Here is a 26,704-nt window from a genome sequence, read left to right as displayed (position 1 = left end):
GTCAGCACGCCTACGCCAGGGCGTTCAGGCCCGCTCACCCGCCAGTCCCTTTCCACTTTCCCTTCCTCTGCCCTCCCTCCACTGTGGCCTCTGAACCATTTGCAGCTCCCCGAACGCAGCAGGCTTTCTGTGCCTTTGTACACAGTGTTCCCTCCACGTGACCCCCCCTTTCCTTCTTGGCTGTCTGGCAAACACCTACTCACCATTTGAGGCTTAACAGAGCTCAGATATCACTTCCTCCTGGAGGCTTTTCTGAAATGGAATTGACACCCCTCCCACCACTGTAACCCCAGTCACCTGTCCTCAAGCATCATTATACTCTGTTCTCTGCCTTTCTCCCGCCCCCGGCTTGAACTCCTAGAAGACAGGGACAGTCATCTCTAGTCCAGCACCTGACACCCAGGGGGAGCTCAATAAATGTGTGTGCAGTGAATGAATTCCATGGGAGTGCAGGTGGGGAAAATGTTGATTTCAGATGGGAGGATGGGGGGAGGTAGGAGCAGCCTTTAAGAAGATGGTGGGTGTGGACTTTTGAGCTGGATGTTGATGACCTCATGGAGAGCTGGGGAAGATGGTCTCCTGGAAGCCAATCCAGGGATCTATATGGGAATTTATTATCTGTTCAAGGGGAAATGCCAATTTAGGGCAAAAGTCAATTTATTTAATAAATGATGCTGCCGTATCAGTGATCCATCTGGGAGAAAATAAAGCCAAATCCTCCCTCCCATCTGATAACACCTACAAAATAGATCCCAGATGGACCAAAGATTTAAAGTAAAAATCTAAATATATTAGAAGCAACTAAAAATATTAGAAGAAAATTTAGAAGACTAATTCTTTTCCCTTGTGGGTGAGGAAGTTCTTTTTAAGTAAGACAGGAAACTAAGAAGCCACCAACAAGAGAAACAGTCAATGAGAGAGATTTGATTATGAAAAAATTATTTCTGAATGACATAAGGTCCTGTAAACAAAATAAAGAGGTAAAAAAATAGACCGAAGTAATATTCGCAATGTGTGTAACAGACAAAGGATTAATATATTTTCTTTTTCTTTCCTTTTTTTTTTTTTTTTTTTTTTTTTTGCGACCGAGTCACTCTGTTGCCTGGGCTGGAGTGCGGTGGCGGGATCTCAGCTCACTGCAACCTCCACCTCCTGGGTTCAAGCGATTCTCCTGCCTCAGCCTCCTGAGTAGCTGGGAGTAACAGGCACCTGCCACCACACCCGGCTAATTTTTGTATTTTTAGTAGAGATGGGGTTTTACCATGTTTGCCAGGCTGGTCAGGATCACCTCCTGACCTCAGGTGATCCGCCCACCTCGGCCACCAAAGTGCTGGGATTACAGGTGTGAGCTATTGCGCCTGGCCAGGATTAGTATCCTTCCTATGAAAAAAACTATAAACCATTTTTAAAAGAGAAAAGATTTGAAAGTAGAGGTATGAACAAGCAGTTACAGAAGAATATACAGGCATACCTTGGAGATACTGCAAGTTCAGTTCCAGACCACAGCAATAAAGTGAATATCATAATAAAGTGAGTCACACGGATATTTTGGTTTCCCAGTGCATATAAAAGTTATGTTTACACCACACTGTAGTCTATTAAGTGTGCAATGGCATATGTCTAGAAATGTACATAGCTTAATTAAAGAGTACTATAGTGCTAAAATATGCTAACCATCATCTCAGCCTTCAGAGAGTTGTACTCTTTTTGCTGGTGGGGAGTCTCCCCTCGAAGTCGATGGCTGCTGACTGATCAGGGTGTTGATTGCTGAAGACTGGGGTGATGGTGGCAATTTCAATTTTTTTTTTTTGAAAGAGGTTCTCACTTTGTCACCCAGACTGGAGTGCAGTGGCATGATCATGGCTCACTGCAACCTCAACCTCCCAGGCTCAAGCCATTCTCCCTCCTCAGCCTCCCTAGTAGCTGGGACTATAGGTGCATGCCACCACACCTGGGTAATTTTTTTTTTTTTTTGAGACGGAGTCTTGCTCTGTCACCCAGGCTGGAGTGCAGTGGCGCAATCTCGGCTCACTGCAAGCTCCGCCTCCCGGGTTCACGCCATTCTCCTGCCTCAGCCTCCCGAGTTGCTGAGACTACAGGTGTCCGCCACCAAGCCCAGCTAATTTTTTGTATTTTTAGTAGAGAAGGGGTTTACCAGGATGGAATTTTTTGTATCTTTTTTTGTAGAGACAGGGTTTCACCATGTTGTACAGACTGGTCTCGAACTCCTGGTAAGTTGTTGTGATCCTTTTGCCTTGGCCTCTCAAAGTGCTGGGATTATAGGCGTGAGCCACTGTGCCCGGTTGCAATTTTTTTTTTCTTTTCTTTTTCTTTTTTTTTTTTTAAGATGGAGTCTGGCTCTGTCACCCAGGCTGGAGTGCAGTGGTGCGATCTTGGCTCACTGTAACCTCTGCCTCTTGGGTTCAAGCAGTTCTCCTGCCTCAGCCTCCCGAGTAGCTGGGATTACAGGTGTGCACCACCACGCCTGGCTAATTTTTGTATTTTTAGTAGAGACGGGGTTTTGCCATATTGGCCAGGCTAGTCTCGAACTCCTGACCTCAGGTGATCCGCCTGCCTTGGCCTCTCAAAATTCTGGGATTATGGCGTGAGCCACAGTGCCTGGTTGCAATTTCTTAACACCGGACAACAATGAAGTTGTGGGGGCCTTTGTGGGGTGGGGATTGCATTGACTGACTCTTCCATTCACGAAACTATTTCTCTATAGCATTTCATAGCATTTTACCCATAGTAGAACTTCTTTCAAAATTGCAGTCAGTCCTCTCAAATTCTGCCACTACTTTATCAACTAAGTTTATGGAATTTTCTAAGTCCTTTGTTGTCATTTCAACAATGTTCACAGCCTCTTCAGGAGGAGTAGATTCCATCTCAAGAAACCACTTTTTTTGCTCATCCATAAGAAGCAATTCCTTACTCATCCAGTTTTATTGTGAGATTGCAGCAATTCAGTCACATCTTCAGGGTCCACTTCTAGTTCTATTGCTATTTCCACCAAATCTGCAGTTACTTCCTCCACTGGTCTTGAAACCTTTAAAGTAAGTCAGCCACAGGGCTGAAATCAACTTCTTCCAAACTCCTGTTAATGTTGATGTTTTGACCTCCTCCCATGAATCATGAATTTTTTTTTTTTTTGGTGGGGGGACAAAGTCTCGCTCTTGTCCCCCACGCTGGAGTGCAATGGCACGATCTCGGCTCACTGCAACGTCTGCCTCCTGGGTTCAAGCGATTCCCCTGCCTCAGCCTCCTGAGTTGCTGGGATTACAGGCGCCTGCCACCAAGCCCAGCTAATTTTTGTATTTTTAGTAGAGACGGGGTTTCACCAGGTTGGCCAGACTGGCCTTGAACTCCTGACCTCAGGTGATCTGCCTGCCTTGGCCTCCTAAAGTGGTGGGATTACAGGCACGAGCCACCATGCCCGGCCGAATCATGAATGTTCTTAATGGCGTCTAGAATGGTGAATCCTCTCCAGGAGGTTTTTTCTTTTCCTTCCTTCCTTCCTTCCTTCCTTCCTTCCTTCCTTCCTTCCTTCCTTCCTTCTTCCTTCCCTCCCTCCCTCCCTCCCTCCCTCCCTCCCTCCTTCCTTCCTTCCTTCCTTCCTTCCTTCCTTCCTTCCTTCCTTTCGAGCTTGCTCTGTTGCCCAGACTGGAGTGCAATGGTGCTATCTCAGCTCACTGCAACCTCCGCCTCCCAGGTTCAGGCAATTCTCCTCCCTCAGCCTCTTGAGTAGCTGGGACCACAGGCGCATGCCACCACACTCGGCTAATTTTTGTATTTTTAATAGAGACGGGGTTTCACCATGTTGGCCAGGCTGGTCTGGAGCTCCTGACCTCAGGTGATCCGCCTGCCTCGGCCTCCCAAAGTGCTGGGACTACAGGCATGAGCCACCGCGCCTGGCCTTTTTTTTTTCTTTTTTTGAGACAAGGTCTCATTCTGTTGCTGAGGCTGGAGTACAGTGGCATGACCATAGCTCACTGTGGCCTCAATCTTCTGGCTCAAGTGATCCTCTCATCGCAGCCTCCAGGACTACAGGCACAAGCCATCATGCCTGGCTATTTTTTTTTTTTGGTAGAAACAGGGTTTTGCTCTGTTGCCCCCACTGGTCTCAAACTCCTGACTTCAAGCAAGTCTCCTGCCTCAGCCTCTTAAGGTGTTGGAATTATAGGCATGAGCCACTATGCGTGGCCCAGAAGGTTTTCAATTTACTTTGCCCAGATCCATCAGAGGAATTACTACCTAAGGTAGCTACAGCTTTATGAAATGGAATTCTTTTTTTTTTTTTTTTTTGATACGGAGCTTTTTTTGTTATTTTTGCCCAGGCTGGAGTGCAATGGTGCGATCTCGGCTCACCGCAACCTCCACCTCCCAGGTTCAAGCGATTCTCCTGCCTTAGCCTCCCAAGTAGCTGAGACTACAGGCATGCACCACCACGCCTGGCTAATTTTGCATTTTTAGTAGAGACAGGGTTTCTCCATGTTGGTCAGGCTGGTCTCGAACTCCCGACTTCTTGTGATCGGTCCGCTTCAGCCTCCCAGAGTGCTGGGATTACTGGCGTGAGTCACCGCGCCCGGCCTGAAATGGAAATTTTAATAAGCCTTGAAAGTTGACATTACTCCTTGATCCGTGGACTGCAGAATGGATGCTATGTTAGGCATGACAACAACATTTGCACATCTCTGCCAGAGCTCTTGGGTGATCAGGTGCATTGTCAACGAGCAATAATATTTTGAAAGGAATCTTTTTGTTTTGAGTGATAGGTCTCAACAGTGGGCTTAAAATATTCAGGAAACCATGCTGGAAACATCTGTGCTGTTAGCCAGGCTTTGTTCCATTTCTAGAGCACAGGCAGAGTCGATTTGGCAGGATTCTTAAGGGCCCTGGGATTTTCAAAATGATAAATGAACACTGTCTTCAACTCTATGTCATCAGCTGCATTAGCCCCTAACAAGAGACTCAGCCTGTCCTTTGAAGCTTTGAAGCCAAGCGTTAACTTTTCTTCTTAGCTATGAAAATCCTGGATGGCATCTTCTTCCAATAGAAAGCTGTTTCATCTACACTGAAAGTCTGTTGTTGAGTGTAGCTGCTTTCATCAGTGATCTTAGCTAGATCTGGATAACTTGCTGCAGCTTCTACATCAGCACCTGCTGCTTCATCTTGCACTTTTTTTTTGTTCTGGAGATGTCTTCTTTCCTTAAACCTTATTAACCCACCTCTGTTAGCTTCCAACTTTTCTTCTGCAGCTTCTTCACCTCTCTCAGCCTTCACAGAACTGAAAGAGTTAGAGCCTGGCTCTGGATTAGGCTTTGGCTTAAGGGAATGTTGTGGCTGATTTGATCTTCTATCCAGACCACTCAAACTTTCTCCACCTCAGCAATGAGATACAACATTGATTTGCTGTTTCACTTTCTTATCATCGGTGGGTTCACTAGAGTAGCACTTTTAATTTCCTTCAAGACCTTTCCCTTGAGGTTCTCCAAGCTGGATTCACAACTTGGCTGGTGCAGGAGGCCTAACTTTCAGCCTATCTTGGCTTTCAACCTGCCTTCCTCACTGAGTTTAATCATTCCTAGCTTTTGATTTAAACTGAGAGATATGTCTTTCTTTCACTTGAATACTTAGAGGGTTATTAATTGGCCTAATCTTAATAATGTGTCTAAAGGAATAGGAAGGCCCAAGGAGAGGGAGAGAGATGTGAGGATGGCCAGTTGGAGCAGTCAGAACACACAAAACTTTGATCATTTAAGTTTACCGTCTTATATGGGCATGGTTTGTGGCACCCCAAATCAATTACAATAACATCAAATGTCACCGATCACAGATCATCATAACAGATATAATAATAGTGAGGCTGGGTGCGGTGTTCATGCCTGTAATCCCAGCACTTTGGGAGGCTGAGGTGGGTGAATCACTTGAGGTCAAGAGTTCGAGACCAGCCTGGCCAACATGATTAAATCCTGTCTCTACTAAAAATACAAAAACTAGCCGGGTGTGGAGGCATGCACCTGTAATCCCAGCTACTCGGGAGACTGAGGCAGGAGATTCGCTTGAACCCAGGAAGCAGAGGTTGCAGTGAGCCAAGATCATTCCATTGCACTCCAGCCTGAGTGACAGAGTGAAACTCTGTCTTAAAAACATAAATAAATAAATAAAATAATAATAATAATAGGGAAAAGTTTTAAATATTGCAAGAGTTACCAAAATGTGATACAGAGACACAAAGTGAGCACATGCTGTTGGAAAAATGGTGCCAATAGACTTGCTCAACGTGGGGTTGTCTCAAACCTTCAATTTGTAAAAAACACATTATTTGTGAAGCACAATTAAGTGAAACGTAATAAAGCAAGGTGTGCTAGTCTATGCGAAAAGAGATTCAGCCTCAGTAGGAGTCAGGGCCCAGAGCCCAACACATAGTAGTTCTCAGTCCTTCTTACTTGTTTAGTGGAAATACCATTTAAAAAAACAATGAGGCCGGGTGCGATAGCTCATGCCTGTAATGCCAGCACTTTGGGAGGCCGAGGCAGGTGGATCACCTGAGGTCAGGAGTTCGAGACCAGCCTGGTTAACACAGTGAAACCCCTTCTCTACTAAAAATACAAAAATTAGCCCGGCATGGTGGCAGGCGCCTGTAATCTCAGCTACTCGGGAGGCTGAGGCAGGAGAATCCCTTGAGCCTGGGAGACGGAGGTTGTGGTGAACAGGGATCATGCTGCTGTATTCCAGCCTGGGTGAGAGAGTGAGACCCTGTCTCACACACACACACAAAATAAATAAATAAAAATAAAAATAAAACAACAAGTTGTGCATTTTTAAAAATTAATAGACAATTTTTTAGAGTTGTTTTATACTTATGGAAAAAAGTTGAGCAGATGGTACAGAGAGTTCCCATCGGTACCTCCCAACTCTGTTTCCCCATTATCAACAACTTACCTTAGTATGATACATGTTACAATCAGTGAATCAATGTTTATATTTGCTTATTAACTCAAGTCCATAGTTTATTAAAATGCCTTAGTTTTTGCCTAGTGTCCTTTTTTCTTTTGCAGGATCCGTCATTGCCAAATGCCTCATGACTTCTAGTTATGATTTTCCCTGAGGCTTCTCTCAGCTGTGGCCATTTCTCAGACCTTCTTTGTTTCTGATGACCTTGACAGTTTGAGGAGTACTGGTCAAGGATATTGTAGGGTACTGCTCTGCTGGAGTTTGTCTGATGTTTTTCTCATAGTTGGGGCTGTGGGTTTTTGGGAGGAAGACCACAGAAGTAAAGTGCCATTTCACTCATCATATCAAGGAGCCAAAAAACTGTTGGTATTGACCTTGATCCCCTGGCTGGTGTCATCTTGGTCAGTGTCTCCACTGCAGAGTTAATCTCCATACAGTGCTATTTAGAAGGAAGTCCTGATGTGCACCCCATAGTGGGGAGTAATGTTCCCCCTCTTTTAAGGTGAGGTCGCGACATAATTTATTTGGAATCCTGCATGAGATATTTGTCTCTTCTCTCCCACTTATTAATTGTTTTTTTGAGATGGAGTCTCGGTCTGTCACCCAGGCTAGAGTGCAGTGGCATGATCTCGGCTCACCGCAACCTCCGCCTGCCCGATTCAAGTGATTCTCCTGCCTCATCCTCCTGAGTAGCTGGGATTGCAGGAGTCTGCCACCACGCCCAGCTAATTTTTGTATTTTTGGTAGAGATGGGGTTTTGCCATGTTGACCAGACTGGCCTTGAATTCCTGACCTCAAGTGATCCGCCCGCCTTGGCCTCCCAAAGTGCTGAGATTATAGGCGTGAGCCACCATGCCTGGCCCCCACTTACTAATTTATTCAATCATTTATACATATCAGTGTGGACTCATCGATATTTATTTTATACTTTAAGTGATTATCCAATATATTTTTGTTGCTCAAATTGTTGTGTGTGTGTGTGTGTGTGGGGGGGGGGGGGTGTTTTACCCTGTGGATTGGAAAAATCAAAAGATTGATGTATAGCCAGGGCTGTGGCAGCTGTGGGGCTGCCCAGAGGATGAATTGCTGCCCCTTTGGAGTGGAGGAGCGTGTTCTGACCTGGAAGTACCAGAGGAAAAGGGGCAGGAGCAGGGCAATCTGTATCATTGGGCCCATTTTTACTTAAAAAGAAGGCCAGGCATGGTGGCTCACACCTGTAATCCCAGCACTTTGGGAGGCTGAGGAAAGCTGATGGCTTGAGCCCAGAAGTTTGAGACCAGCCTGGGTAACATGGTGAAACCTTGTCTCTATGAATTTTTTAAAAAATTTGCTGTGTGTGGTGGTGTGTGCCTGCAGTCTCAGCTACTTAGGAGGCTGAGATGGGAGGAACGCTTGATCCTAGGAGCTTGAGGCTGCAGTGAGCTGTGATCATGCCACTGCACTCCAGCCTGGCGTCAGAGTCAGACCCTGTCTCAAAATAAATAAATAAATAGAAGGAATGTCTATTTTATCTGTCAATTCCTATCTATAGCTATCGATTATCTATTGTTCAATCAATTATCAACCATTATTTATTATCTATTGATCAACATATCTCTTGATCTATCAATTATCTACTGATTTATCTATCCATTATCTACCTATCTGTCTATCTAATTTGTTTCCTGTCAGCTACACTGTCCCACTCTCAATCTGTTCTCCACCCAGTGGACACCCGAGGGGTCCTTGGGCAACGCACATCACATCAGGTCCCCTCCCTTCCCTCAGTGGCTTTCCGACGCCCTCAGAATAACGTTCAAGCTCCTTATGGTGGCCTACAGTGCCCTCTATTGGAGCTCCACTCAAATGTCCCTCCTCAGAGAGCCCTTCCCTGGCAATCCCACTTGCAGCAGGTGGAAAGTGGCATTTTACTCCTGCTCCAGGCCACCTGACTTCCGGTCCATCACCTATCATCCCACCATCCCTTCCCCCCAAGAATTCATCACCATTTGAAACATTCTCCTCCCCTCCACTAGAATCGAGGCCCCATCAAGGCAGTGGGCTCCATGGCTGCTGACTTGTTGGCTCTTGCAGCCAGGCTTAGCCCAGAGCCCAACACATAATAGGTCTCAGTCCTTCTTACTTGTTTAACGAAGGTCCTGAGAGAACCCAAGGCAGAACAACGCTCCTTCAGCCACATTAGTGACCGGCGAAGGGGGACTGGAGAGGGAGAGAGGAGATTATCAACTTTTTCTTTAGATACCTCTGGTTTGTTTAAGCTGTTACAAAGAACATGTAGTACTATGGTTTTTAATTAAAAAGAAAATCCAAGAAAGTTAATCAAAAAGGAAAAGACATAAAGTTTTCACTTCCTGGGGACAAAAGAAGAAAGCAGCAGAGGCTTTAAGTGGGAAATGGTTGGTGTATAGGTGAGCACAGAGAGTCTCCTGAGGCTGCGGATGGAGTGGGGCAAAGGGGGCTGGAGGGTGTGTGGGAGCAGAGGGTGCTGGGGAGATGGGGAGGCTCTAGAATTGTTACGGATTGAGGGGCCTGCAGTCTGGGTGGAAGGTGGGGGCAGGGGTGGGAGCTGTCTAGAAGCTGTGCTTTTGCAGTCGGCTGGATGGGGGTTTGAGGTGACTCGTGGGGGTGACTAGGGAGTCCTGGGGCATCCCATGCTTCCACCACTGGAACCTGGACAGCCCCCACAGTCCAGTCCCGGGCCCAGCACCCGGATGCACCGGGCCTCTCTCCTCTCTTGGCTTCAAGTTTCCCAGCAAAAGAACAGGGCTTGGCACAGGAGTCTCCAAGGTTCTCCCAGCTGGGATGGCCACCTCCGTGGCCGCTGACTCCGGGCAGAACGCTGGAGCACCTGCCTGTCTTGTAGGCAGCTCCAGTCCCCGTTTCCATCAGAGGCCCTGAACAGGCGGCCTCCGCCTCTGGCCAACAGAGGGCGCTGTGGCACCGCCGCACCCGAGCAGGCTCGGCGCATGGCAGAGCGGGTCCCTGTAGCCCAGGCCCTGGGTGGGCCCCAGGCATCCGGTACCTCCTCGTCCACGTGTCCTTCTCCGCGCAGCCCTATTCACTCCAGAGTGTCCACAGGACTCGAGTGTCCGGTTCTCAGGGCCCCGGCCGGTGAGGTCATGCTGGATCTGGACCTGCCCAGGAGGTCATTCCTTCCATGCCCCTGCCTCCGGGCAAATTTCACAGCCTGGTGTGTCTCTGGGCAGGAGAGAGAGCTCTCCTTGCGCCACGCAGTCGTTACCCCTGGTGTCAGGTCTTGGTGTCCAGCTCGAATCTCTCTCACTGTAGCTAAAAGCGACATGGCTGCTTCCAGAGCTGAGGGGGAGCTGGTGTTGAAGAAGCCAGGAGAGGGGTGTTAGCCACTTTCCCAGGCGTCTTAGTGGTTCCCTGCCCAAACCAATAAATCCCAGTAAATCCCGCCGTCCTCTAACCCCAGCACAGCCCTCCTCCCTCTCTTCTTGGGAGTGGAGAATAGCTGGGATGGGAGCCCTGGGTCTCAGCGGGCAGGTGGGAGAAGCTGAATTGGGAGGCTTCTACCAGATTCTCCCCAAGAAACCTGGCAGTGGGAAGGGGGCTGAGAGGGTGGCTGGCTTCCTGGTGCATGCCCAGGGCAGGGGACCCCAAGGCTAGAATATCCCTGGACAGCCCTTTCCTGTGCACGGCAACCTCCATCACGGGCTCTTCTAGGCCTCACCCTCCCCACACCCCTAATCCCTACATCCCCGCTCCTCCCCATAATTCTCCCCACGCCCAGAGCTGGCCGGGCCCCAGCGGGGACATCCAAAGGCAGCATCAGCCCCAAGCTGCAGGCCTCTCACGCCCGTGTCTTGCTTCATTCCAAGAAAGCCCCTCCTTTCCTGTTTCATGCCCCATTGGCTCTGCCGTCCCAGGCTGGCAGGCTCCCGGGAGTGTGCTTGGTCCCAAGAACAGAGGAAGCTCTACCACCTCTCAGACGCCTAGTTTGTCCCTACTGGGATTTGGGCCATCTGAGACACCCTCCCTGAAGCAGACTGGGCACACAGGTGGAACCAGGCCCACAGCAGAACATCCAGGGACTCCCACCACCTGATAGCCAAGCCCCCAGCAGGGTCAGGGCAAGGGGGCTCCCACTGACTCAGGGGGCCAGGCAGGCCCAGGCTTGCTGTGTGACTTGGAGGAACCACTCTGGCCTGGCTGTGGCCCAGATGTCACCCAGGAAACCCATGTGCCCCTGCCTCTTTTGCCCTATGCAGTCCCCATAGCCGTCCTCACAGGACTGAGGGCCCCCATTAGGCTGTTGGCCCGAGGTCTGTAGTGGGAAGGTCGGGGGGAATAGGGCTCCCCGGACGTGCATTCCAGGGCAGGCTTCCCAGGAGTCACGTGGTGCTCACTCTCCTGTGGCGTGTGGAGTGGAAAGGTCTCCCCAGCCAGGTGCTCCGGGCCGGGATGCTGAGTGGAAGTGTTGGGAGGGGCTGAACGACCAGCACCCTGGGCCCTTGTGGAAAAAGACCTTGGCCCCAGATCCTCCTGTCTCCCCTTCCCCTTGTGGCCTCCTGTTCCTGGGTACAGATGAACCTGTTTGCCATGGGGATGGGGCCACGGGGCAGCTCCTTCTCAGGTGTCCACACTGTCATCAGTTGCTGGTCCACCTGGAGCACAGGCTGCATGCTGTGGAGACACAGCGGGGGCATAGACACACACAGACAGGCCACACCACCAAGTCCCGGGCTGGACATGTGATCAGTTTGCCCAGAACCATCATATCCTGATCCATGATGACAACATGAGGACATCTTGGTTAGGCCTCTGCCAGATCCAGGTTCAAATCTGGGTTCTGAACCTTGCTTACCTTAGCAACGAGGGCCCTAAGCATTCCAAAACTTGCTTTCCTCACCTGTGAAGTGGGATAACCGTATCTCCAACAACACAAGGTTGATGTCAGGATTAAATGATAGTGTATGTAACAGTAATTATAGCAACAAACCCTGAGGGAGTGCCAGGGAGCTCTTTTAAGCACATCCTGTGAATGAACTCTAATCCTCATCATAAGTCTAAGGTCTGGCCTCTTATCCTCATTTTTCAGATAAAAGAGACATAGCCCTTGCCCTCAAGGAATTTCCAGTCCAGCAGGGAGATAGAGAAGTGAGCAAAAATCCTTTGAGCCAAATTCGTCTTTACTGTTCGGTGTAATGAGAATTCAGGTCACAAAGGTTCACATTTTAATTGGGTCCTCATAATCCCCCACCGTGAGCCCATGGTACAGGCGGGGAAACGGGCCCCGAGAGATTGCAACACTTGCCCAAAGGTGCAAAGCAGAGAAGGGGGAAGCAGCACTGTGTGACTTCCGTGCCTGGGCCCTTCCACAGCAATAAACACAAAATACCATTGAAACCAAGATGCTTGCCATGTAATTGCAGTTTCCAGAACAGTCCCCTGGCTCCTTCTTACAAACAGAGGATTGCAGCCCACGAGCCCCAATCCAGACAGGCCAATCCTGTCTCTCCACCACACTGTTCTGCCTCTGGATGCCCAGAGTGAGGAATGACTACTTCTGCTTGGTAAAGCTGGAGAAGAGTTTACCCACAAGGTGACATTTGAGGTGGGATTTGAAGGATGCATAGGAGTTCATCAGAGGGACAGGGAGGGAAGCCAACCTAGGAGGAGGGAAGAGAATGGACAAGGGCAAAGAGGCACAAGTGTATATGGTGGAGGAAAGCAAGCAGGTGTTCTGGTGGGGAACAGGGTGAACAAAGGTAGAAGGCAGGGCCACCCAAGGAAGCTGTGTTTGGTGATTAATGAAGGCAGGGGACTTGAGGGGGTGGGAGGGATGATGGAGATAAGACAGAAAATGCAGGTAGGAGCCATATTTCAGTGGAGACAAAGCTCTCACTAAAGGACTGCCCCCTAACTTGGGAATTCCAGAGACCCCTTGGTGGTAAAGCCACTGAAACAGTCACACAGGACAGCTGCTGCCAGTCCTGCCCAGGTTGGGGTCTGGGAGGGGTCTGCTGCTTAGAGCACCTCACTGGCAGCCAGGCCCAGTGTGTGGAGCGTGTGCAGGCTCTGGGCCCCTGTGTGAGGCCGAGGTGTGTGTGCTCATTCATCAATGGAGGGTGCAGAATGCACTGGAGGCTCTGGGAGGGTGTATAGGAGTGTAGAGAAATGTGGGTGAATTGTGTGTGGGTGTGAAAACACATAACCATGGGTGTCTGTGCAACTGCCTGTGCAAGTGTGTACATGTGTGTAACAGTGTATATCCCCATGGAGCATGCACAGGGCCAGGCACCCAGGACTCTCATGGAGGGGGCTATAGGTGTATGTATGCAAATACAGGTCTGTAAATGCAGGTATATGCAGGGACTGAAGTGTGTGTGTGTGTGTGTGTGTGTGTGTGTGTGTGTGTGTGTGTGTGGCTGTCCTTTAGGAGGTGTCTGGGTCAAGGCGGGATGGAGAGAGGCAAGCCCCAAGAATAGATGTGAGGAAAGGCTCAGCATCCTGAAATCAAGATTCCAGCATAACTTAGAAATGGCCAGCCTCACTGCACATGCAAATCAGATGGGAGTGATATGCAAATAAGCAGTCTTCTCCTTCCTGGCCTTTGCCTGGGCTGTCACCCCAGAAGTCTTCCTGGAGTTCTGGGGACAGGGGCCGTGGAAAGAGGGGCTCTAGCAGTGCTGGGAGCAGAGCTCCTTGTTGCCTTGGTCCCCTCTAGCTCATGGGTTAAGGCTGAAAACTCCATAAGACCCTACGTATTCCGTGAGACCCCACGGGAGGCTTCCAGCTGCCACTGGGCCTAGTTCCCAGCTGTGGGGGCAGGCGTAGGAGAGGAGGGGGGAAGAGCTGGGGGAGCTGGGTGAGGGCTCCCAGGCCCCACCGCGGAGAATGGATGTCACAGTGACAGCTGGCTCAGCCAGCATTCACTGGTCAGGCCCAGTTGTCGGGGCGCCAGGGTGAGGGATCAAGGGTAGACAGAGGCCTGCAGTGGGCATGCAGGGCGCCTGGGGCTTTCCTTGGGGCTCAGAACACAGACCCATGTTGCTGGAGAGGCTCACACAGCCTTCTGACTCCCTCCCTGCGCACAGGGCACCCGAGATCACTCAGCACGATGTCATCGGGCCAAGACCGTGCCCAGGCTCCCCACCTCAGGCGAGTGCTTGTCCCTCTGCCCGGGAGTACACATCCTGACTCATGCACGCGTGCTGCACGGGCAGTGCACACGCCTACACCTCACACCCTCTTAGGCCCTCCGCAGAGTGTCTACACGGAGCACGTTTACTGGCATTGAGGACCAAGCACACAGGCACGCCCAACCTCCAGGCCGAGCACAGAACACCTGCCCATGGATGTGCTCACAGCCCCGAGCAGGACTTTCTCCCACCCACCCGTCTTCCCCTATGCAGGTGTCCAGACAGGCTGTGGGTAGGGGGCGATGCCTGCTCCTCCAACATAATACACTTTCTCCTCGGTGGGCGGCCATCTCTGCTCCCTGTAGCTTCTGATCAGTTTCATAGTCACACGTGGTTGGGGGTCCAGCTGCCTCCAGAGCTGGGGCTTCGTGTTTGCCTGACTCCTGGGTCTTTCTTCATGTGACAGGTCTCTTCCCTGAGGCAGAGCCTGGGACTCCTTCCTTTGACTGGGTGGGGCCCCTGATGGCAGGAGCCAGGTATCCCCCATAGGATTTGAGCTCCCTGACAGTGGCGACTGTCCCTACTGTCCTGAAGGCAGGGGCGTGTCTGCCTCTGACCTCCAGACAGACTGCCAGCTCCTCTCAGAGCCCAGCCCTGGGTTCTACACAGTCCTAATGATCTGGGGTGAGTGGACAGACAAACAGCCTTGCCCTAGGCCTAACCAAAGGCCAAAGGTCAAACTCCATGCATGCCAGGAAGGGAACCCAGCCCAGAGCAGCCCAGGACAAAACTCTGTGGCCCAGCTACAAAGGGCAAATGTGTACTCCTAGACTGCCTTGGCCCCAGACCCCTCCTGGCCAGCCAGATGGAGCCCTGTAAAGAAACCACACGGGGCCCATCCAGCGGCTCACACCCTCCTTCTCGAAAGTCCTTCTGGGTGTCAGCCTCAAATCTCTCATGCTGTGGCATTTCCCCTCCTTTGCCTCGTGGGTCTCTCACATGGCATAATTCCTTACCTTTCAACTTCCCAAGATGTATTGTCCCTATTGAAATTAAAAAACAACAGATAGGCTGGGCTCATTGGCTCACACCTGTAATCCCGGCATTTTGGGAGGCCGAGGTGAGCAGATCACTTGAGGTCAGGAGTTTGAGACCATTCTGGCCAACATGGAGAAACCTCATCTCTACTAAAAATGCAAAAATTGGCCTGGCACAGTGGCTCACGCCTGTAATCCCAGTACTTTGGGAGACCGAGGTGGGTGGATCACCTGAAGTTGGGAGTTCGAGATCAGCCTGACCAACATGGAGAAACCCATCTCTGCTAAACGTACAAAATTAGCTGGGCGTGGTGGCGCATGCCTGTAATCCAGCTACTCAGGAGGCTGAGGCAGGAAAATCGCTTGAACCCAGGGGGTGGAGGTTGCATTGAGCCGAGATCCCACAACTGCACTCCAGTCTGGACAACAAGAACGAAACTCCATCTCAAAAAAAAAAAAAAAAAAATGCAAAAATTGGCCCAGGCATGGTGGTGCATGCCTGTAATTCCAGCTTCTTGGGAGGTTGAGGCAAGAGAATCGCTTGAACCTGGGAGGCGGAGGTTACAGTGAGCCGAGATTGCACCACTGCACTCCAGCCTGGGTGACAGAGCGAGACTCCATCTCAAAAACAAAACAAAACAAAACCCCAACAACTGTGAGGGCCAGAAGGGACTGCCATGACCACCGCAGATCCATCACCTCAGGGGCAAACTGAGGCCAATAGAACAAAGGCCCACAGGACTGAGGACGGAGGCTAAGGACACTTTCCGCAGCCAGCCCTCCTGTTCCTGCCCTCGGGCCCTCTGAAAGTGAGAGCGAATATCAGCCTCTGCCCAGAGTCCCCAGCCCCACTCAGCAGCCACCCCTGGCTTCCACAGCGGAGGGCCCAGGGCTGTGGGGAGACTGGGCAGCTGTGGCAGCAAGGGCGGAGCCCCAGGGGGGACCTTATGTGGGGAGATCTCCTCTGGCCACATCCCTGAGAGGTGCTTCTGAGAGAAAGTGGGCGGCCTGGCTGCCCTGGAGTTGTGGGCTCAGCTCAGTTCAGCGGGTGGCTGGTGAGTGTTTCAGGATGACACGGCCTGTTCCCCTCTGTTCTGGCGCCTCAGGTGGTGTAGGGAGCAGGCAGGGCCTGACAGCCGGTGCACAGCCACAGCCCTGGCAGGAGACAGACCCTCTCTGAGGGAGCCTCCAGCCTGCAGAGAGCACACTGCTCCAACCTCAGGGACTCCAGAGTGAAGGGGGAGACACAGCCCCTGCCCTCAGGGAGCTCGAGGTGCACAGCACACAGCCTGGCCCCTTCCTTTAAGAATTCGTAAGTCATCACTCTCTTTGCGATGTGTTTAACACCCGCTTGTCCCTCACAGGCTGGGAGCTCTGTGAGATTCCTCATCTGGCCCGTTCATGGCTGTCCCTTGCACATGGGACAAGCCTGGCCTGTCACAGATGCTCACCCAAGCATTGAATTGAGAGGAGCGGGTCACAGTCACGCTCCTGGGGAGACTCCAGTTCTTTCCCTTCTGCAGCTGCAGTCAGTCGCCAGGAACTACCCATTTTCCTCCTCAACACAAACTTGGCCCCTTCTACCTGGGCTTCTGGGCCACCAGGCTTCAGGCCCGCACCATTCCCTAGGGCCGGCCTTGCCAACCCCTACTTCTCACAGTAGCCAGAGTGGCTCTCCAGAAACCCACATCTGAGACATCACTTCCTGGCCTCAAACCTTCCATGGTTCCCTAGTGCCCCAGGAGAACGCCCCAACTCTTTGCCTGGCATTCAGAGCCTGTCACCTCCGGCCTCACAGGGCCGCCCTACCACACCCAGCCTCACTTTCTCTTCCAATAGCCCAGAGCCCCTTTCTCCCTCTGCCTGCCCTGGCGACGAAGGGCCCCTTCTGTGTGCGCCTGCAACCCTGCATGTCTCAGCATTTGTCAGGGCTAGGAGGTCTTGGGGCAGGGCCTGGCACCCATTCACCTTTGAATCTGTCTCCCAACACATACCAGGACCCAGGCCCTGAGAGATGGGCAAACCCCATCTCTAAACCCCAGCCCTGACTGTGGCTGCCCCCTCCTCCTCCCCCCCAGGCCCCTGCTCACCCCCATTTTGATTTCCTTCCTGTCACTTGTCACATCTAGGATTACCACGTTTTGCTGATTTGCCTATGGGTTCAATGTCTGCCTCGCGCACAAGAGTGTGAATTCAAGATGGCTCAGATGTTGTTGTCCCCAGAGTGTGCTCAGTACCTGCTATTGTCATAAAGATAGCCAGAGGCAGCCGCCGAGCAGTCACCCTGTGTGGCAGGCATGGCCTCCTCTCGTCCTCTGAGTAGCCCGCATGGGGCTCCTATGCTCACTGTCATCCTGCAGATGGGGAAGCAGGGACTCAGAGACTTGTCCAGGCTTGGTTAGTGGGTGGGGACCTGTGACCAGGCTGCACCCATGGCTCTGTGCTGCCTCCAGAGCAGAGGCAACACCCTTGGGACATGGAGGTGCCTTGAGCTCCCTCCAGACCCTGCGATGGCCATGTCTCCTGCTCCTACTATTCCTAGACCTCCTGTTGGCCCACCTGGAGGCTGAGGGGAACTGGAGATCCAAGGGCAGGAGCCACTGGCCAGAAGGGGGCAGTCAGCAGCTGCCATAGCAGAGGACAGCAGTGACCAACACAGAGTAGGAGGGTCAGACAACAGGAAGAACTTCTAGACCCTGGCACCTTGGGGGCAAACCTGTCTTACCCATGTCTGTAAAAATGAGAGAATGAATGAACCTGTTCTTCAGGAAGCAAGGAAGGGGGAGCATGAGGCTGGAGGCAGGGGAATGGCAGCGATGAGTTCACAGGGGACTCCTTGGGGCCATGCTGGAAGAGAAAGGGTTAAGCCCACCCCCTGGCCAGCCTGCTTGCTCAGGCCCCTGCCCGTTGTATGCTTTGGCTCAGGGCAGCAGATCTGTTTGTCTGAGGTGTCCCCTGTGTGCCCTCCTTCCCCGGGCTATTGGCAGGCCTACTGTCCCACCGGCCAGGAGGCCAGCTGTGCAGCTGTCTGGGGCTGTGTCTGGGGCGATGGGGCGTGAGAACATCTGGGTGGGTGTGCAGAACAGTGAGGCAGTGGGGCGGGGGCCCCTGGGCCTGCTGAGTTGGGCACAGAGGGGTGACCCACCCCGGGGAGCACCCACAGCCTGCAGACACACGGCAATGCCCCTCTGGCTGGCCGCGTGCCTCTGAGTCCATGCAGGGGTTCGGGATTCTGGGGCTTTTCCTTCATGGTGGGTGAAATCAGGAGGAAGGTGCCAGGTTGGACTTGGGCACACAGGAGTGTGGGTGGCCTTTATTTTGAAAGAGGATAAGAATTAGGGACAAGGAGGTTGGTTCCAGACCTTATTTTCATGTGTGAGGGCCAGGAGGCACTCCCCTGTCCTTTTCTGTTTTCTCTGCCGTGGTTCGTGGGGCGATGTGATATATGGGTCACCACCACGGCTTGGCTGCCTCCTTCCACCACATCCCCTCCCATCCGGGCCTCTGTGGACTTGCCAGACTAGGTCAGATCCTTGGTTCCTTGCTCTTGCAATACCCTGTCCTCTCCTAGTTCACACTGCAGATGTAATTGATGACTTGGTTTGTCTGTCCCGATTCGTCTCTAAAATCCCTGAGGTCCCCTCTCTGCTGATTCAGTATTGCATTCCCAGCCCCAAACACAGTGTCCGGCTTATAGTGGGAGCTCAATATAGAGAAGGAAACGGGATTCTCAGGAGGCGTCCATAACAAGATGTTATCATGTCCCCCACCCACAGGCACACGTGGCTCCCCATTGCCCCCAGCCTGACATTCCCAGTGCTCCCCCAGCTGCCTGCCAGTCTGATCTGTCTGTCTAAAGCCCTGCAGTCAACAGCCACATTGTTCCCCAAATCCACTTTGCTTAAGCCGCCCCTTAGCTGGAGCTGTCCTTTCCTCTCCCCACCCCCCATCCTGGCTGCCCGCAAACTGCCACCAGCCCTGGCTCAAAGTACCCCTCTGCTTAGACACTTTCCTGGTTTCCTCTAAGGATCTAAAGTGGCTTCTTTATGTGGAGTTAGCCTCCCCGATAAGGATGGGGGTCTCAGGCCTGCACACCCCCAGCATGCCTGGTGCACCTTCCACAGCCCTCTGTGAAGTCAAAGTTGAAGAAAGAAAGGGTCCCCCCTGCCCCCCTCCCTGGACTATTGGCAGGCTCGCTGACTCACGGAGACCGAGATGGCAGAAGTCTGCAGAAGGAGGAGATGTAGTGATGTGAGAAAAGGTGGGATGGTGGCAGAGGCAACCTAAGGTGACCCCAGTGAGTGATGCTCTCGCAGATTCCCCTCCCCCGGGCGCAGGCAGGATCGGCAACCTGCTTTCAGCCAATAGAACACGGCAAAGGTGAAGGGGCTTTGCAGATGTAATTAAGGTCCCAAACTGGTTGATTTTGATTTATCAAAAGGGAGATTACCTTGGGTGGGCCTGATGTAATCAAGTGAAAGCTCTTAAAAGAGGGACTGAGGCCCTCCCTGAGGTCAGAGAGAGCCTCCTGCTGGCCTTGAAGATGTGTCCTGCCCTGCACTGAGGGGGCCTGGGTGAGGGCCAGTGGCAGGGACTGTGGGCGGCCTCTGGAGCTGAGAGCAGCCACTGGCTGCCGGTTGGAAAACCGGAACCTCAGCCCTAGGGCCGCAAGAACTGAAGGCTGCCAACAACCGTGTGACCTTGGAAGAGGCCCATGAGGAAAGGTAGCCCAGCCGACACCTGGACTGTGAGACCCTGGGTAGAGGACCTGCACCCAGGCTCCTGGCCCGCGAAACCTCTGAGGTGGTAAATGTGTGTTGTTTTAAGCTGCTGAATGTGTGGTAACAGAGACAGCAACAGGTACAGGTGGGTTTAGAACAACCAGCCTCAGAGGTGATGGAGGGAAGGGTCATGGTGTGTGAGAGCCCTGGAGAACAGGAAGGTGACTTCAGGCCTTCGCACTCCCACCTGCCCCCGGGTTTACCCAGCCCCACCTCCACCCAGCTCACCACCTCTTCTCGCCTGGAATATTGTGAGGGGCACAAGGTTTGGGGGTCTCAGTCTCTGGTTCTCCTTGAATTCTGACCAAAGTTGGGATAATGCTAATCCTATCCCAAACACATGCCCAACCCTAACTCCAACTGTAAGGCCCCAAATTACCATAGAGGCAGGTGAAACACGGATTCCCACTGTCGCCACCCCCTTCCAGAGCCCTGGCGTCAGCCTGTGGCCAGACAGCCCCGAGCAGACAGCTGCCGCCCCCTCGGCTCTTCTCCTGTTGTTGTGACCAGGCAGGCCGCGGGGAAGAGTTCACAGCCTCCATGGCAGCAGCAGCTGGGGCTCCAGATGTGAGGGAGCCCAAGCTTGGGGATGGTGTTACACCCAAGTGGCTGTTCAGCTTTCCCGGAGGGGTGGGGGTGTCTGGGAATGGGGAATCTGGGGAGTGGCCTATTTTTCTACTCTACCCTCACCCCCGGTTCTGCTCCTAGGCCCCCTCCTGGGTGTGGATAATTTGGAATCAGTTAAAAGGGAGTCTTGATGCGTGGATTTGGGTCCCCAAACTGCCACCTCCTTTGGCTCTTTCCTGACCCTGAAGAGAACCTGACCCGGATGTACCAAGACCTTGCCGGAAGCCTCTAGCCAGAGCAGCTGGTGAGAGGAGCCTGACCCCCTCTCCAACCCCTTCCTTTTGTCCATAGTGAATACACCAGGATTTGGTTTCTCCACTGACCCCCCCACCCCACTAGCCTCTGGCCCAGGGCTCCCATCCATCCTGTCTCCCCCGGGCCTCTCCAGGATGCAGACAAAGACAGCATCTCAGGTTCCCTTGTCTGGGCGCCCGCCCTTTGATCTGCCCCCTCTTCCTTCCCTGGGGGGTCCTGGGGTGCCCTGGGGAAGCTCCATCCAGGGACAGGCACCCAGAGATAAGATCTGGGATGGGAAGGAGCCCAGAGCACAGGGGACTTTAAAGGGCTGCCGACAGAACCCCCTTCACCAAGCTTGCCTCTGCCTGCCTGCTGAGGCCCCTCCCCTCCCCCACCTGCTTGTTGTTCTCTCCCCAGGCCCTGGACTCCCACTGGGACACTGACTGGGAGATTCTTAGAGCACTGAACGATTGGCCCTCCACCTTCCCAGCGGCTCTTTGGGAAAAGATGCCCATTGCATGAAGCGGGGCCTCTCAAGGAGGAGCCCCAGGTCACCTGTTGCAACAGAATCGCCTGGGAGCTCCAAGGCCCAGCCCCAACCCATACCCAATGAGTCTGAATCTCCAGGAGGTGCCCAGACATCTGCACATCCAGCAGGTTCCCAGCTTCACATTGTAAGGCTCCACCTCTTTCCACCCCCAGGATCTTCAGGGGCACAGTAAAGTGTCCACCATGAGCTGCCTTCACCCCAGCCCTTGGGACCATGTGGGGACCGGGTGGGAACTCTGGGCTCCTGTGACACTCAGACCAAGCCCCTCACATTGCAGGGGCCCTGCTCAGCATCCTGGAGGGGAGCAACCCTTCTGGGACCAGGAAAACCCAATTTTGTCCTCCATTTCTGTTCCTCCTGGGGGCTGTGAACCTCAGGCAGGGTCCCTCGGTCTGGGTCCCGTATGAACTCCTCTTCACCTTTCTGGCCAGGTTATCAGAATGGGCAGGGTTGTAAGTGGTTCAGAGTTTGAGCTCTGGGGTCAGGCGGAGCCGAGTTCAGCCTTGGCACATTCCCCTGCACCAGCCCGTGCCCTGGGGTGAACCCCTGGGCTCCCTTGGCCTCTTCTCAGCTCCTCACTGTGTCCCACCCCTCTGCCATCTCCTCTTCTCCCCTCCAGCTATGGGACGATCTGTCCCGAGTTCACTTTCTTCTTTTCTATTTCCTACTCCCATGTCCCCAAACACATCCCGCCCTACAGTTCCCCACCTCCAGGCCCTGCACGGGCCCTTTGCTCTGTTTGGCATGCTCCTGCCCTCCTGCATCCTGGCAGTCTAAACTTTAAGTGAGACCTGCATGGAGCAGGGAGACTGGCCAGAAGTCTTAATTAACTTCAAAATTTAAAGCTGGAAGAGAGGGATATGATTTGGCTCTGTGTCCCCACCCAAATCTGATGTCGAATTGTAATTCCCAATGTTGGGGGAGGGACCTGGTGGGAGGTGATTGGATCGTGGGGGCAGATTCCCCCCCTTCGTGTTCTTGTGATAGTGAGTGAGTTCTCATGAGATCTGTTTGCTTAAAAGTGTGTAGCATCTCCCCCTTTGCTCTCTCTCTCCTGCTGCTATGTGAAGATGTGGTTGCTTCCCCTTCACCTACCACCATGGTTATGTTTCCTGAGGCCTCCCAGCCATGCTTCCTGCATAGCCTGTGGAACTGTGAGTCAATTAAATCTGTTTTCTTCATAAATTACCCAGCCTCAGGTAGTTCTTTATGGTAGTGTGAGAACAGACTAACACAGAGAGTTTTAAATTCTTTAGTTGTAGGCCTTTGCCCAGGATGGAGTAGCAGGGACTGTATTTCCTTCCCCTTCAAAACTTTCAGACAGCTGGAGAGGATATATGGAACATCAGTTTCAAGGTACTGGACATCAGGCAATGAAGGAAAGAAATTCTTGAGAGACAGAAAACAAGTGAGCTGAGCCCTAAGATTTCTCCAGCTTCCTGCCTAGAGAGTTATCAGGCTGTGGCACAGGGAGAAAGAACTGGGCAGAGCCTGGGGGACTTTCTGGAAGGAAGAGATGGAGGTGAGAGTCCAAGGAGAGACCAAGGGGACTAGAGTCAGCAAGACAGAGTGCTGGAGAGGAGACAACTGCTCAGAGGGCAACTCCCAGATCTGCAGAAAGGGCTGCCTTGAGTATCAGGCAGAGTACTAATCAGTGCATGTGTGTGAGGTAAAGATAGATAAACAGATCAATGTAACAAAGTAGAGAATCCAGAAATAGACCCACATGTACATGGGCAACTAATTTTTGACAAAGGTGCAAAGGGAATTCAGTGGAGAAAGGATAGTCTTTTCAACAAATGGTGCTGGAACAATTGGATATTCACATGTAAAAAACCTGATCCCGTAGGGCGCGGTGACTCACGCCTGTAATCCCAGCACTTTGGGAGGCCGAGGTAGGCAGATCACCTAAAGTCAGGAATTTGAGACCAGCCTGGGCAACATGGTGAAACCCCGTCTCTACTAAAAATATAAAAATTAGCCAGGCGTGGTGGCATGTCCTGTAATCCCAGCTACTCAGGAGGCTGAGGCAGGAAAATCGCTTGAACCCAGGAGGCGGAGGTTGCAGTGAGCTGAGGTCGTGCCATTGCACTCCAGCCTGGGCAACAAAAGTGAAACTCTGTCTTAAAAAAAAAAAAAAAATTAGCTGGGCGTGGTAGCACATGCCTGTACTCCAAGCTCCTTGGAAGGCTGAGGCAGGAAAATTGCTCGAACTCAGGAGGCGGAGGTTGCAGTGAGCCGAGATCATGCCACTGCACTCCAGCCTGGGTGACAAGAGCGAGACTCTATCTCAAACAAAACAAAACAAAACAAAACAAAACAAAACAAAACAAAACCTGAACTGTGTATCTCACCATATATGAAAATTAACTCAAAATTTGTCATAGGCCAAATGTAAAATTTAAAATTATAAAACTTCCAGAAGAAAACCTAAGAGGAAATATATTTGGCCTTGGGCTAGGCAAAGGTTTCTTAAATATGACAACAAAACCAGGAATTCATAAAAGAACAAGTTGATAAATTGGACTTCATCAAAATAAAAATCTTTTCAAAAGACACTGTTAAGAAAATGAAGAGAAGCCACAGATTGCAAAAAAAATTTGCAAAACACATTTCTGAAAAAGGACTTGTATCCAAAATATACAAATAACTCTTAAAACTCAACAATATAAAAACATACCAACCCACTTAAAAAATCAGCAAAAAATCTGAACAGACATCTCCCCAAAGAAGATACACAGATGGCAAATTAACATTTGATGTTCCATGTCATATTTCATCAGGGAATTGAAAATTAAAACAAAAGCCAAAACAAAAAATGTGATATCACTACACACCTATCAAAATGGCTACAATTTAAAATACTAACAATATCAATTGGTTGACAAAGATATGAGGCAATAGGGACTGTCATTCATTGTTAGTGGGAATGCAAAATGGTACAGAACACTGGAAGGCAGTTTGGAAGTTTCACATAAGGCTAAATATACGATCCAACCATCCCACTCCTGAGTATTTACCCAACTGATTTGAAAACTATGTCTACACAAACACATGCATGCAAGTGTTTTCAGCAGCTTGATTTATAATTGCCCAAAACTGGAAGCAACCAAGATGGTCAACAGGTAAATGGATAAACAAACTGTGAACATCCATTCAGAGAATATTATTCAGTGATAAAAGAAAAGATATGGATGGCCGGGGGCCGTGGCTCACACCTGTAATCCCAGCACTTTGGGAGGCTGAGGCGGGCTGATCACGAGGTCAGGAGCTCGAGACCAGCCTGGCCAACATGGTGAAACCCCATCTCTACTAAAAATACAAAAATTAGCTGGGTGTAGTGGCAGGCGCCTATAATCCTAGCTACTCGGGAGGCTGAGGGAGAAGACTTGCTTGAATCCAGGGAAGTGGAGGTTGCAGTGAGCTGAGATTGTGCTACTGCACTCCAGCCTGGGGGACACAGCAAGACTCCATCTCAAAAAAAAAAAAGAAAAAAAGATATGGATGAATCTTAGATGCATATTTCTAAGTGAAATAAGCCAGCCTAAAAAGGCTACCTATTGTATAAGTCCAATTACATGTTTCTATAAAGGCAAAACTATAGTGATGGTAAAAAGATGAGTGGTTAAAAGGAGTTTGTGGGGTAGGGAGGAAGGATTGAATAGATGAAGCAGATGAAGCACATGGATTTTTTTTTTAGGATGGTGAAAACTATTCTATATGATACTGTAATGATGTAAATATGATGTTATACATTTGTCAAAAACCCTAGAACTTTACAGCACAAAGAGCAAATCATAATGTATGCAAATTTTAAAAATCATTTAGAAGGTTGGGGGATCTCAGAAGAGAATGCAGAATGTGTCAATACAATCTATCACAAATGTATAAAACAACCTCACTAAAGGAGGTGGGGGTAAAGGTGCTGACCCAAGTCACTTTGGAAATATGTAGAGTCTGTAAGACTAAAGTCAAAAGAAATTTTACATAAGCACTGTACTCTAGTTGATAAAGTTATTTCCCACAGAGGTAAAGGTTAACAATTCTGTTACTGCTATATGTGTGTACTGAAATTAAACAATTAAGAAGGCTGGGGATGGTGGTCACTCCTGTAACTCCAGCACTTTGGGAGGCTGAGGCAGGTAGATCACTTGAGGCCAAGAGTCACTTGTGACCAGCCTGGCCAACATGGAGAAACCCATCTTTACTAAAAATACAAAAATTAGCCAGGTGTGGTGGCGGGCATCTGTAGTCTCAGCTATTCAGGAGGCTGAGGCAGGAGGATCACTTGAACTTGGGAGGCAGAGGTTGCAGTACACTGAGATCACGCCACTACACTCCAGCCTGGGTGACAGAGCGAGACTCTGTCTCAAAAACAAACAAACAAACAAACAAACAAACAACAACAAAAAAACCCCAAAACAATTCAGTAAATGGATGGTTGATGGGAGGAGCCAGATTTCTCTCTATGTAGGAGGTTACAGGAGGTTACAAGAAAGCAGGGGAGGTCACAGGAAAGCAAGGAGAGAAGGCAAGAATGATAGAATGATCTATGGATCAGAATTGGAGACATCAGTACAAACTCATGTTTAGTTGGCTTATTTATTTATTTTTTTCAAGACAAGACCTCACTCCATCACCCAAGCTGGAGTACAGTGGTGTGATCTCAGCTCACTACAGCCTTGACTTCCTGGAATCAGGTGGTCCTCCCACTTTAGCTTCCGAGGTAGCTGGAACTATAGGCACACGCCACCACACCCAGCTAATTTTTTTGTATTTTTAGTAGAGATGGGGTTTCACCCTGTTGTGCAGGCTGGTCTCAAACTCCTGGGCTCAAGCGATTCTCCTGCCTTGGCCTCTCAAAGTGCTGGGATTGTAGGTGTGAGCCACCATGCCTGGCCCCATGTTTAGCTTAATACAGATAAAGATGGTTACATATAGAAATATTTATAGATTCATCTATACATGGGTTAGCACACATATATATGTATACGTATATATGTATATGTGTGTGTGTGTGTGTGTGTGTGTGTGTGTGTGTGTGTGTATATATATATATATATTTCCTTGCTCTGTCAGATGAGAAGGCCTAAAGCAACCACATCCTATTAAAAATGATCACATCTCATGCCCAGCTCTTGGGATCTAATAATAATTCCAACAAAAGAAACCAGGAATCTGGCCAGGTGAGGTTGCTCACGCTTGTAATCCCAGCATTTTGGGAGCCCGAGGTGGGTGGATCATGAGGTTAGGAGTTCGAGACCAGCCTGGCCAACATGGTGAAACCCCAACTCTACTAAAAATACAAAATTAGCCGGGCGTGGTGGTGCATGCCTGTAATCCCAGCTACTCACGAGGCTGAGGCAGGAGAATTGCTTGAACCAAGTAGGCGGAGGTTGCAGTGAGCCGAGA

The 26,704-nt window shown here is 50.8% G+C and overlaps 1 long non-coding RNA gene across 1 annotated transcript in view, besides 2 other annotated features; it reads left to right on the top strand.

Annotated features, from left to right (window-relative positions):
* NGFR-AS1 (NGFR antisense RNA 1) overlaps positions 1–26,704 on the top strand; it is a 68,408-nt gene that overhangs the window by 7,676 nt on the left and 34,028 nt on the right. The gene's annotated exons all lie outside the window — the stretch shown is intronic.
* Positions 118–227: an enhancer, noted in NCBI's record as "active region_12365". NCBI's record gives its function as "activates an Ori minimal core promoter by ATAC-STARR-seq in GM12878 lymphoblastoid cells {active_cell/tissue: GM12878}" and the evidence as "EXISTENCE:reporter gene assay evidence [ECO:0000049][PMID:35858748]".
* Positions 9,844–9,913: a silencer, noted in NCBI's record as "silent region_8671". NCBI's record gives its function as "represses an Ori minimal core promoter by ATAC-STARR-seq in GM12878 lymphoblastoid cells {active_cell/tissue: GM12878}" and the evidence as "EXISTENCE:reporter gene assay evidence [ECO:0000049][PMID:35858748]".

Source organism: Homo sapiens, chromosome 17 (genome assembly GCF_000001405.40).
Source record: "Homo sapiens chromosome 17, GRCh38.p14 Primary Assembly".
In the NCBI taxonomy this organism is placed as follows: Eukaryota; Metazoa; Chordata; class Mammalia; order Primates; family Hominidae; genus Homo; species Homo sapiens.
This window is presented reverse-complemented; position numbering and strand designations above follow the sequence as displayed.